Genomic DNA, 12,441 nt, shown 5'->3' on the forward strand with positions numbered 1-12,441 from the left:
CTGGGGAAGATTGTGATTGGCCCACAGTAATCCACCGGGAAAGAAGCGCAGCCACCGCTCCTCTCTATTGGCCAGTGCTCTGAACGCTCACGCATTCAAATGAGAGCGCGCGCTGGGCGCAGCCATTCAGCTTCCTACACCCTGCGGCTGAACCCTGAGACGTCATCCGGCAGTCCAAATTCGGTTACAAAGTCGGCTCTGCCAGACCAAGGAAGGAGCTGGAAATCGTTTCTTAGCAAGAACAATGAAAGAAACCAGAAATATTTAATCTGGAAAAGAGAATACGTGATAGCTGTCTTCCTTTATTTTTTTTCACATGGGAGATTTTACTACTTCAGAGGACACGTTTATTCAGAGGACACATTTAAGGACAACGGATGAAAGTCTAAGAGATGCAGAACTTAGTTCAATAAAGCATTCTATCAATTAGAACTCTGAAGAACAAAGTAGGTAGGGTAGTGAATTCCTTCATCACTGGAAATGTTCAAGTGGAAGTTAGGTCATCACTTGTTAGGGATAGTGCAGAAAGGATCCTTGCACTGGGTGGCAGTTTGGAATAGATGACTTTTTTTTTTTTTTTTTTTTTTTGAGACGGAGTCTCGCTCTGTCACCCAGGCTGGAGTGCAATGGTGCAATCTCGGCTCACTGCAACCTCTGCCTCCCGGGTTCAAGCAGTTCTCCTGCCTCAGCCTCCCGAATAGCTGGGATTACAGGCAAGCGCCACCACGCCCAGCTAATTTTTGTATTTTTAGTAGAGACGGGGTTTCACCGTGTTGGCCAGGCTGGTCTTGAACTCCTGACCTCAGGTGATCCATCCTTCTCAGCCTCCCAAAGTGCTGGGATTACAGGCGTGAGCCACTGTGCCCAGCTGGAATAGATGACTTTTAAACCATCTTCCAACGCTAGATGCATGGTACTTTCTGAACAAGGAAGAACCTGTTTATAGTTAAGCCAACCTTAACTTCTCAGAGCTGCCTCTGCCAGAGGCCAATGCTTCATGAGCGCTGAAAGATGGCACAGACCTGACTTAATCTAAAGCACATGGCTGGAACTTGACTAGCCTTTGGAAATGCTGTGGGTGGAAAAACAAAACAAGCAAAAAGCCAACCCTCATCTGACTGCTCTCAGCTCACTGTGTAGCTTTGGAACAACGATGGTAATACTAATAGTAATTTATTATTATTACTATTATTTATTACTATTATACTATTTATTACTATTATTGGTAACAGAGTAATAATCAGTCTCTTTCTAAACTTGTAAATCAGTATAATTTTGGCCACTGCAGTGATGTCTACATCTAGTCAAAACTGGTGTTAAGTGGCAAATGGTTCCCCATAGCCATTGTGTGGGGTGTTTTCTCTCAAGGGCACCACATGTTCACTAGGACTCTGTGATGCTCCCCTGGGGTTCCTCACCTTAGTTGTAGGAATAAACCAACTACAGTAGTTTATTAATTATTATAAAGTTGTGAAACAAACATAAGGAATCCCATTCTTGTCCAGTCTAATTCCAGTTTGCTGTTGGGGGTTTGCATTTATTGTTAGCATTTACTCAGCATTTAGTGAAGTGTTTTCTGTCATAATTGAGTTCCTGCTTATTTTACTACTGATGTTTTGTTTTAGTCCTTTCAATACCTGTCTTTATTTTCTTCCTGCCCCAATTGTAATTGTATCTCAATTACAGTTCTGTCTTCAGAACTGAAATTGATTACTTCCTTGGGTGGTTCTCTGAGAAATAGGTCTTAAAAATGTCTCTTAAAAAAGCAAGAACTGTATTGAGTCCGGTGGAAAAGAGAGATGGTTTGATAAAATAAGTAAATCCCTATAATTTTGGCAACAGAGAGGAAAGAAAAAAGGATAGAAGACAAAAGAGGAAGGAAGAAAAGGAGGTAGAGAGGGAGGAAGAAAACAAAGAGAAAGAAAAAAAAGAACCCCATACACTAAATGTACAGTTTCCATTTGTCCACCAGAGGGGGTATGTTAACTGGTGGGAATAGAGGCCAGGCTAAAAGATTTTCATAAACTTTTTACAGGTGTCATTGTTTTTAAAAATGGAGCATTCTAATGTTATAATTTATTTTTAAATTATAGCTATGAAAATTATTATTTTATGAAGGTTTCTTCACTTTACAACACATCATAGCAGGCTCACTTAGTACTTATAAAAGTATAAAAATTGTATTTTATTTTTATACAGTAGTATTTGTCAGGATTTACTCACTAGTATATGAAAATATATCTTATTTATTTTTATTTTTTATTTTTTATTTTTTTGAGACAGGGTGTCACTCTGTCGCTCACTGCAACCTCCGCCTCCTGGGTTCAAGCGCTTCTCCTGCCTCAGCCTGCCTAGTAGCTGGGACTTCCGGCGCCCACCACCATGCCCGGCTAATTTTTGTATTTATAGTAGAGACGGGGTTTCACCATGTTGGCCAGGCTTATATTTTCTTTAGAATAGCATACTTATAGCCAGGTGCAGTGGGTCATGCCTGTAATCCCAACATCTGGGGAGGCCTAGGTGGGCAGATCGCTTGAGCCCAGGACTTTGAGACCAGCCTGGGTAACATGGCAAAACCTCATCTCTACCAAAAAATACAAAAATTACCCAGGCATGGTGGTGCATGCCTGTAGTCCCAGCTACTTGGGAGGCTGAGGTAAGAGGATCACTTGAGCCCAGGAGGTTAAGGCTGCAGTGAGCTGTGATTGCACCACTGCAAATCTAAAGTGAGATCCTGTCTCAAAAATAAATAATAAATAAATAATAAAGGAATGGAGTACTTATTTAGGAAATTTAAATTACCATACTTGTTTAATGAGCTGATTGTGTAAGTTATTCTCAGAAAGCCCTAGTTGGGAAACATGTTTTAGAAAAAATAGGATTTCAATTTGAAAAAACTTTTCAAGTCATTAGAGGTAGATGAATGTTTTCATGGCATTTTTTTTGGCTGAGCCTGTAAAATTAATTAGATTATAATAATTATTACTACTTTCAATAATCATATAGCCAGAAGGTATATTCCTCTATCTCCAAGTAGATATGCACTTAAATGATCCAAGGAATTTAACTACTTACACTTTTCTGTAAAATCTCCAAAGAAGGTATTACACTCTTACTTCCACAGGAAAAAAAAGAAAAGAAGCAAATAAAATAGGTATGGTAAGGAAGTACTTCTGGCTTCCTGGAACTTCCTTATATTGAGACTGAATTCTTGGCTGGGCGCGGTGGATCACGCCTGTAATCCCAGCACTTTGGGAGGCCAAGGTGGGTTGATCACAAGGTCAGGAGTTCGAGACCAACCTGGCCAATATGGTGAAGCCCTATCTCTACTAAAAATACAAAAATTAGCCGGGCGTGGTGGTGGGTGCCTATAGTCCCAGCTTCTCAAGGAGAATTGCTTGAACCCAGGAGGCAGAGGTTGCAGTGAGCTGAGATCGCACCACTGCACTCCAGCCTGGAGACTCCGTTTCAAAAAAAAAGAAAAAGAGACTGAATTTGTGTTGAAATTTAAGCTCAGGCTGGGCATGGTGGCTCACACCTAAAATCTCAGTACTTTGGGAGGCTGAGGTGGGAGGACTGCTTGAGGCCAGGAGTTCAAGACCAGCCTGGGCAAAATAGCAAGACCCGTCTCTACTTAAAAATAAAATAAAATAAAATAATTTTATGTGCCTATAGTCCCAGCTACTCAGGAGGTAGAGGGAGGAGAATTGCTTGAGCCCAGGAGTTTGAGCCTGCAGTGAGTTATGTTGGCACCATTGCACTCTACCCTGGGTAACTCTGTCTCCAAAAAAGAAAGAAAGAAATTTAAGTTCATATCTCTTGGGAAAGTAAGGATTTAACCTGGAGTGGGTCAATTTTAGCTTATTTAAACAACTGGAACCAGATATTTTTTGCTTCCTAATTCGGAATACAAAAATAATGCAGCCAAAAGAAGCATCATTATTGATCCCTGAAAAATTTACTCCAGTTTAAAAATCCTTATTAGAAGACCAGTATGCCAGTAAAACATAAAGTTATATATATATATATATATATATAGGAGCAGCTATCATATACGAGGAACATAATATTGAAATGATGCATGAGGACTGTAAATAGGATTAGGCTTCTAGCTGAGTATTCTTACCTATTTGATTTAATATCAATTTTTCTTTTATCCTTTAGGGAGAGTTCTATTTGGGAGCTTGTGGGCAATAGTAATTATCAGCAAGAGGCTGAATTGGAATAAGAGGAGGTCCCACTGTGATATGTTACAAAGTAAATCTCATGAATAATTTTTTTTTTTTTTTTTGAGAAAATCTTGCTCTGTCACCCAGGCTGGAGTACAGTGGCATAATCTCGGCTCACTGCAACCTCTGCCTCCCAGGCTTAAGCGATTTTCCTGCCTCAGCCTCCTGAGTAGTTGGGATTACAGGCACCTGCCACTGTGCCTGGCTAATTTTTGTATTTTTAATAGAGATGGGGTTTCACCATGTTAGGGTGGTCTCGAACTCCTGACCTTAAGTGATCTGCCCGCCTTGGCCTTCCAAAATGCTGGGATTACAAGCGTGAGCCATCGCGTCTGGCCAAGAATTTTTAATTGCAATAAATGATGAGACATGACAAGTTCTATGGTGGCCATAAATAAATGCATGTAGCAAGGAAAATGAGGTTACATAATGTATACATTATTATACCTTGATTTTCCTTATGTACATTGTTATTGATAGTACACAGATTTGACATGAGGTTTAATTAGTATTTATAATGTATTTAAGAATATCCTACTAAAGCATATGGTGTTTAGACACAGTATTATTAAACATAATATTTTTTACATTTATATGTCACTTTTCATTTGAGGCTTTCAATTCAATAATTAATTGTTTCCTTAATGTATGATTTCCACTTCATTTCAGGGGAAATTGAGGAACAGGCAAATTTTCACATGACAGAATATAATAAAGTTTCCCTTTACAATACCCCAATCATTTTGCAACATTTTTTAAATGAAAAATTTTAAACATACAGAAACGTTTAAAGAATCTAACATTTGCATATGTACTCTTTCATTATGGGTAACACATTTAATTGTATTTTGTTCAGGGCTAGAGCACTGGAGGTTATACTTATTAAATCAATCGGACTGGCCGGATGCGGTGGCTCATGCCTGTAATACCAACACTTTGGGAGACTGAGGTGGGTGGAACACTTGAGCCCAGGAGCTCAAGACTAGCCTGAGCAACATGGCAAAACCCTGTCTCTACAAAAAATACAAAAGTTAGCCAGGCATAGTGACACAGGCCTGTAGTCCCAGCTACTTGGGGGGCTGAGGTGGGAGGATCGCTTCAGCCTGGGAGGTTGAGGCTACAGTGATCCACGACCATGCCACTGCCCTCCAGCCTGGGTGACAGAGCGAGACCCTGTCTCAAACAAAACAAAACAAAACAAAACAATCGGACAGATACATGTTTTATAACCCAGTCTTGGTGAATATAAAAATGTTCTATTTGCTACCTTAGGAATTTAGTATGATTTAGTATGCTTGATAGTATCTTTCTCTAGCTTTGAAAAAAAAAATCATGGGACAGGTACAGTGGCTCAGGGCTGTAATACCAACACTTTGGGAGGCTGAGGCAGGAGGATCGCTTGTGTCTAAGAGTTCCAGACCAGCCTGGGCAACATGGTGAGACCTTGTCTCTACAAAAAAATAAAAAAATAGTGGGTGTGGTGGTGGGCACCTGTAGTCCTAGCTACTGGGGAGACTGAGGTGGGAGGATCGCTTGAGCCCAGGAGGTTGAGTCTGCAGTGAGCCGTGATTGCGCCATTGCACTCAGCCTGGGTGACAGAGTGAGACTCTGTCTCAAAAGAAAAGAAATAAAAATCATGGAAGACATCTATTCTGTCTTGTAAAAATTTAAGGTATATGAAAAGAGTAGAGGAGGAGGAGGAGGGAGAAGGAAGAGAAATTATTTATTGGGATCCAATATGTGCCAAAGATAGTATTAGGCATCCTTGCATGTATTATTTCATTTGATCCACATGACTACCCTGTGAGATGTTATTCCCATTTTACACATAAGAAAACTGGCTAAGAGAAGTCAAGTAATTTGTCTGCGGCTGTGAATTCAATTTAAATTCACAGCTTAAACTCTTTTCACTACATCTGAATGCATCATTTTCAAGATCTTTTCTGGGCCTGGAGTAAGTTGACAGTATTTATGTAAAACATGTAATACTGTATCTGTATGTATGCTCCTCTTCCCCACGCTCATTCACATTTACCGTGATTAATACACATGTTAATAAAACCCTAGACTTAGAACTAGGATATAGAATCCAGTCGTTTAGGTACTTAATGTTTAGTTCTCTCCTCCAGAAAACAGGAATAATTACCGCCTTTTTTCCACTCCAAAGAATTGATGTGATAATTAGGGAGATAAGATTAGTTACTAGTCATAACAAGAATAAACTACAACTCCCAAAATGCCCAGAGGAAGAGGCTGACGCCAGTCCAGGAGACAGTTCCAGCTTTAGGGCAAAGGTGACCCCACTGGGTCCCGTGGCGAAAGAGAGAGCCGCCGGTCCTCGCCTTTTTTCTGATGCATCCAGGGATTTGTAGTTCCCTTACGGCCACCAAGTGCACTTAGGGCAGGCCTCTTACTACGAGTCCCGTGATGACCCGAGGCCGGGCAGCGCCTGCGTATTGAAGCCGAGGGAGCGTGCGGGCGGTACTACTGGCGGGAGGAGTAAAGATGGCGGCGCGAGGGTCTCCGCCCTCTGCTCCGGGCTGAAGCGCTCTGAGAGAGGCGGCAGCGGCAACTCGAGCCCCAACAGTAATTTAGTGTTGGTAGTTTTGGCAGCAGCTGCCGAGGCCGGAGCAATGGCGGAACTGGAGCACCTAGGAGGGAAGCGGGCAGAGTCGGCGCGAATGCGGCGGGCAGAGCAGCTTCGGCGCTGGCGGGGCTCGCTGACAGAGCAGGAGCCTGCGGAGCGACGAGGCGCGGGGCGGCAGCCGCTGACCAGGCGCGGGAGCCCCAGGGTCCGCTTCGAGGACGGTGCTGTCTTTCTGGCCGCCTGCTCTAGCGGGGACACCGACGAGGTGAGAAAGCTTCTGGCAAGAGGTGCTGATATCAACACGGTCAACGTGGACGGCTTGACAGCCCTGCACCAGGTAACTCCTTTCTTGGTCTTAGAGGCGTCCAGTCTCCTACAGATGAGCCTTTGACCCTGCGAGCCACCCCATGGGGAGTATCAGTGTTGCCGCCGACTCCTTCTGCATGGACACTGCCCTTTTGGGCTAATCGGTTTCATTCTTGGCCAGCTTCCTCCACTAATCAAGTCTTTTTCTGACCCCAGGGTCTTAGGAATAGCGTCACCCCGCTGCTTGGTCAGTGTTTGTATTTCCCTCCACCTACTTGTGTTGTCATGGTTACTGGTGATTTTTGTCCCTGGTCTTATCCCTGTAGATTAGTTATCTTCACTTATGTCTGGTTGGCGTGCCTGCACACCGCGTCACTCATAGGCACAGTGTCATTTGTTTGATGCCCTTTCAGAAAATTCAGTTGTTGTGTGTCCCCGTTATAGAATATCTTATATCACTTAAAGAGTAAAGCCCTTTACTGGGTAAAGACAAGCAGGTCTGAAACCACACCTCTTGTTTTGTTGATTTGTAGTACTTCAAAACAGTTTGTGTTGCCTCTAGGCTACAGCTCCTAGAACACGCTGGACCTCGTTGTTTTAGGTATCTTAACTTCCTTCTCAGCAGTGCTACCTCCCTGAGAGCTTCCTATGGAGAACTAAGTTACTGAATTACCTCTGTTTGATACTTATGGAATAGCTTTTCTATTTTTCTATTTTTTTTTCTAAAGTGCTCTATAGAAATCCCATGCCCCATGTATAGCTATACTATATGGATTGTGGATAATCTGTGCTTGGTAACGACACCTTTACTTCTGTCACCTAATGCAGCAATATTCTCTGTCTACTGACTGCCATGACTAACTACCCCTCTCTCCTCAAATGGAACTTCATCAGTTATTTTGGTGAGCTGAGAGCCGGACACCCACTCTTAATCTTTTGTATTTTTCTTCTTCTGCCGTCTGTGCAAAGTGAATGTATTGGCATGAGAATCTACTTCTAAATAATAACTCAACTTTATATCAGACCACTTCCCTAAATATATTTAGCCAATAGCTTAAAAAGTTACTTCTCACTATGTTTGCAACCCTTCTATTTCAGGTAGAAGAAACTCTTTCACCCTATTTTGTACCCATTTTTTTTTCCTGCTGATAATATTTCCCCACCTGAGGTAGTAACCAATATTTGTAGAGTGCTTTGCTGTTTGATTTCATATGTCTTACCCCATGTGAGTTTCAGCAGTGATCCTTTGAAGTAGGTGTGGCAGGTAGTGTTGTTATTCTCATTTTACAGATGAGGAAACTGAAGCTCAGGAAAATTATTTGTGCAAAGTTAGAAAGTAAAGAAGTGGCCCATAGGCATGGATTTTTCAGACTTATGTCACAGAGATCTCTATCTCACTTAATAAGGAGCTGAATGTAAAATGAGATAAAAGCTAAGAGAACCACATTAAATTCTAAACTTTAAATTTCTGAACTCTTTGGGAAGGTGAATTCTTGTTTTTCTTTTTCTTTTTCTTTTTTTTTTTTTGATTCAGAGTCTCGCTCTGTTGCCCAGGCTGGAGTGCAATGGCGAGATCTTGGCTCACTGCAACCTCTGCCTCTTGGTTTCAAGCGATTCTCCTGCCTCAGCCTCCCGAGTAGCTGGGATTACAGGCGCCTGCCACCACGCCTAGATAATATTTGTATTTTTAGTAGAGATGGGCTTTCACCATGATGACCAGGCTGGTCTCAAACTCCTGACCTCAGGAGATCCACCCTCCTTGGCCTCCCAAACTGCTGGGATTATAGGCATGAGCCGCTGTGCCTGGCCTAGTAATCTATTGAAATAAGAGAAGAAGGGGATGACAGCTATGGATTTTTTTTTAACATCTATAAATGCAATATAAGCATTCCTTTCCATTTATAGGGCTGACAAGGAGTTGAACTGAACAAGTATACTCGATTCTAGACAAATTCAGCTAAAAATTAAGCTGCTTAAAGATTTGAGGTCTGTTGAGAAACTGTATCTTTGAATCAAGACAACGGGCCTTTATTGGCTTCAGAACATTACAAGTCAGTTTCCGAAGAGTTACAATGTGTGTCTCCATGACTTGGAGAAGTTTTTGTTGTTGTTGTTGTTGTTGTTGTTGTTTAAAAAAAAAAAAAACAGTGTCTCACTGTATCTCCCAGGCTGGAGTACAGTGGTGCAGTCTCAGCTCACTGCATGCAACCTCCGTCTCCCAAGTTCAAGCTATTCTCATGCATCAGCCTCCCAAGTAGCTGGAACTATAGGTGCCCACCACCATGCCCAGCTAATTTTTGTATTTTTAGTAGGGATGGGGTTTCGCCATGTTGGCCAGGCTGGTCTCAAACTCTTGGCCTCAAATGATCTGCCTGCCTCGGCCTCCCAAAGTGCTGGGATTACAGGCATGAGCCACCGCGCATGGCCGACCTGGAGAACTCCTAAGGTACATAAAAGACTATTTTCAAATGGGAGACTGGAGCTGTTGGTAGCTGAACCACCTACTTTACAATGGATTCACCTTCTGTGAAATGGAGAGTGAGTGGTACAATTATCTGAATTATTTATTTAAAATGTCCATTTGTTATACAAGCACGATATAAATTATCTGGATAATTGCTTCTTTTCTCTCTTTTGGCCATGGCCACTTGACCAACTGTGGATTATTGTCTTGGCATGTTAGAAGCCCCCAGATAATACTGGGGGACAATTTTTCTCCTCCTACAACGTCACAGTAGATGATTTGCACTGCAGCTTGTGGTGCCTTGATGCTTCTTTTGGACTTAGAGACCTTCTTTCTTGGCAGCCTTTGCTGAGACCACGAGGTGCTTGAGTCAAAGATAACAAGCTCCAGGGGGCCTATTAATAATACTTGAGTTAGACTGGGATAAGAAGTATCTCAAAGGTTAGACCAACTCTGATGAAAGCCTTGGAAACTGATGCAGACTAAATTTCAGTGACTAAATTAAGATTTGGTGTGTATGCATGTGTTGTCCTAGAGTCCTTAACAAGGTATTAATCTGATTATAGAACCCTTGAAAGCACTTGTTTGCTCACAAAGGAATTTCTGTTTCATTTGCGTATACACATTGTAAGGCCAGGAATATTTGTTAATAATTCTATGTGGAATAGTACTTTAAATTTTTTCTTTTATTTATTTATTAAGTTTGACTGTTAGCACCTATCTTGATATCCTTAGCATTATAATCTTAGGTACTCTAGGCCTAGATACATGATATCTACCAAATTATTGCTGTGGGAAGAGGCAAGTGCCTACTTTCAGAAAAGAGATTTTTCTAGGATTTATTAAAATGAATGCTTACTTACTTCAGCATGTATTATGTTGACTCTTAAATCTGTGCTGAGTGTGGTGAGGGATGCTGGATTTCAGTCACCATAGGTCTTGTCTCTTAGCACGGTCTGATCAGTCTTCATCTGGAGGGCTACCAAGGAGATTAGAATAATTCCATACTTGACTCAGAAATTCACACTGGCGGCCGGGGGTGGTGGCTCACGCTTGTAATCCCACCACTTTGGGAGGCTGAGGCAGGTGGATCACGAGGTCAGGAGTTCGAGACCAGCCTGGTCAACATTGCAAAATCCCGTCTCTACTAAAAATACAAAAATTAGCCTGGTGTGGTGGTGCACACCTGTAGTCCCAGTTACTCGGGGAGGCTGAGGCAGGAGAATCGCTTGAACCCAGGAGGTGGAGGTTACAGTGAGCTGAGATCACACCACTGCACTCCAGCCTGGGTAAAAGAGTGAGACTCCGTTTCAAAAAAAAAAGAAAAAAGAAATTCAGACTGTCTTTGTAATGTGCAGGGTCCAAATTTGGACCCTCAAGGTCACACCAGACTGGAATTCAGTTTGTAGTTGAATAAGCCTTTGTCATTCTAGAGTTGCCTCAGTCTGACGCTGTAGACTTAGGGAGGCTAAAATCACGTATTTCTCAGGAAGAGAGATGGAGATAGGAACAAGTGAGGGGAGGAGGATAGGCTGAGCAATTTATATTCAGACAGAGACAGAAGATGAGTAAGATGAATGTGTGTTCAGTTCAATATAAAATAGTATATTTTGTGTGCTAACTCATATGGTAAAATAAAACTTGTGCTTTTAACCTTTTCTCTTTTATTCTACATTTATTACTCATTCCTCTCCTGGTTCCACCTGCGAAGTTACTTTTGCCTTACCCTGAATATTGATGAATTCTGCTTAGTGTCAGGACCCATGGCAACATAGGATTCAGAAAAATCCTGTTTGCTCCTTTATTATTGTGCATCTAGAATAGTCATCTATCCTGAGCCATTTTAGTAGCTTACCTCTTCAAATTGCTTAATATGTTGCATCAGACTATGTTGGACCTCAAAGCCATATTGGGAAATTCAGCTTTTTGTCTGTGTGGTTTTTTTTTTTGAAAGTATAAATAAAAATGACTTTCATTTGTTCCGCAGAATTTCTTCCCTATTCTTCTTCTTTGTGTGTGTGTGTGTGTGTGTGTGTGTGTGTGTGTGTGTGTGTGACAGGGTCTTGCCCTGTTACCCAGACTGGAGTGTGGTGGTGTGACCATGGATCACTGCAGCTGCAACCTCTCAGGCTCAAGTGATCCTCCCCACCTCAGCCTCCTTAGTAACTGGGACTACAGGCACACCCCATCATACCCAGCTAATTTTTAAAATTTTTTGTAGACAAGGGGGTCTCACTATGTTGCCAGGGCTGATCTTGAACTCCTGGGCTAAAACAATCCTCCCCCCTCGGCCTCCCAAAGTGCTCGGATTACAAGTAGGAGCCACTATGCCTGGCCTCTCCCCAATTCTTCAACTCCTGCTGAATAACTGTATATCACCATTTGGGCTTTTAGAATCTTCTACTCTGTGAGTATTTTGAAATAGGCAACCTGTCAATATATATGGATTAAGCACAATTCTGCCAAAGGTAAGGAGTTGGACCAGTCTTGTTGTTAACATAAAACTAAGTAGTTTATTTTTTTCTTTTAAAATATTTTAAAACTAAGATATACTTTATATACAATAAAATTCACTCTTTGTAGTGTAGCATCGTATGAGTTTTGACAAATGCGTACAGTTGTGGAACCACCACTGTAATCAAGATGTAGAACGTTACCCTCAAGATTTTTTGTGCTCCTTGGTAGACAGCTCCTCCCACCCTCAGCCCATGACAGTCATTCATCAGTTATTTTGTCCCAATAATCACAATAGATGGAGGCTGAGGCAGGAGGATCACTTGAGCTCAGGAGTTTGAGACCAGCGTGGGCAACATAGCAAAACCTTGTCTTTACAAAAAAATAAAATTAGCCAGGCA

General features: G+C 41.9%; 1 protein-coding gene across 17 annotated transcripts in view, besides 3 other annotated features; it reads left to right on the forward strand.

Moving 5' to 3' along the window:
* Window positions 75-174: a silencer, noted in NCBI's record as "silent region_1701". NCBI's record gives its function as "represses an Ori minimal core promoter by ATAC-STARR-seq in GM12878 lymphoblastoid cells {active_cell/tissue: GM12878}" and the evidence as "EXISTENCE:reporter gene assay evidence [ECO:0000049][PMID:35858748]".
* Window positions 6,457-6,997: an enhancer, noted in NCBI's record as "H3K27ac hESC enhancer chr1:202317574-202318114 (GRCh37/hg19 assembly coordinates)". NCBI's record gives its function as "activates a minimal SCP1, AML or CMV promoter by ChIP-STARR-seq in primed H9 embryonic stem cells {active_cell/tissue: H9 hESC(primed)}" and the evidence as "EXISTENCE:reporter gene assay evidence [ECO:0000049][PMID:30033119]".
* Window positions 6,669-6,978: an enhancer, noted in NCBI's record as "active region_2335". NCBI's record gives its function as "activates an Ori minimal core promoter by ATAC-STARR-seq in GM12878 lymphoblastoid cells {active_cell/tissue: GM12878}" and the evidence as "EXISTENCE:reporter gene assay evidence [ECO:0000049][PMID:35858748]".
* Window positions 6,710-12,441, forward strand: part of PPP1R12B (protein phosphatase 1 regulatory subunit 12B) — a 244,004-nt gene continuing 238,272 nt past the window's right edge. For all 17 annotated transcript variants that reach the window (XR_001737195.2, XR_007060689.1, XR_007060690.1 and 14 more), the window contains exon 1: window positions 6,710-7,153. Coding sequence is in view for 10 of the 17 variants with exons in the window: in NM_001331029.2 (NP_001317958.1) it covers window positions 6,863-7,153 (291 nt within the window). In the remaining 7 variants the exon portion in view is untranslated. The remainder of the gene's footprint in view (window positions 7,154-12,441) is intronic.

Source organism: Homo sapiens, chromosome 1 (assembly GCF_000001405.40).
Source record: "Homo sapiens chromosome 1, GRCh38.p14 Primary Assembly".
Lineage (NCBI taxonomy): Eukaryota > Metazoa > Chordata > Mammalia > Primates > Hominidae > Homo > Homo sapiens.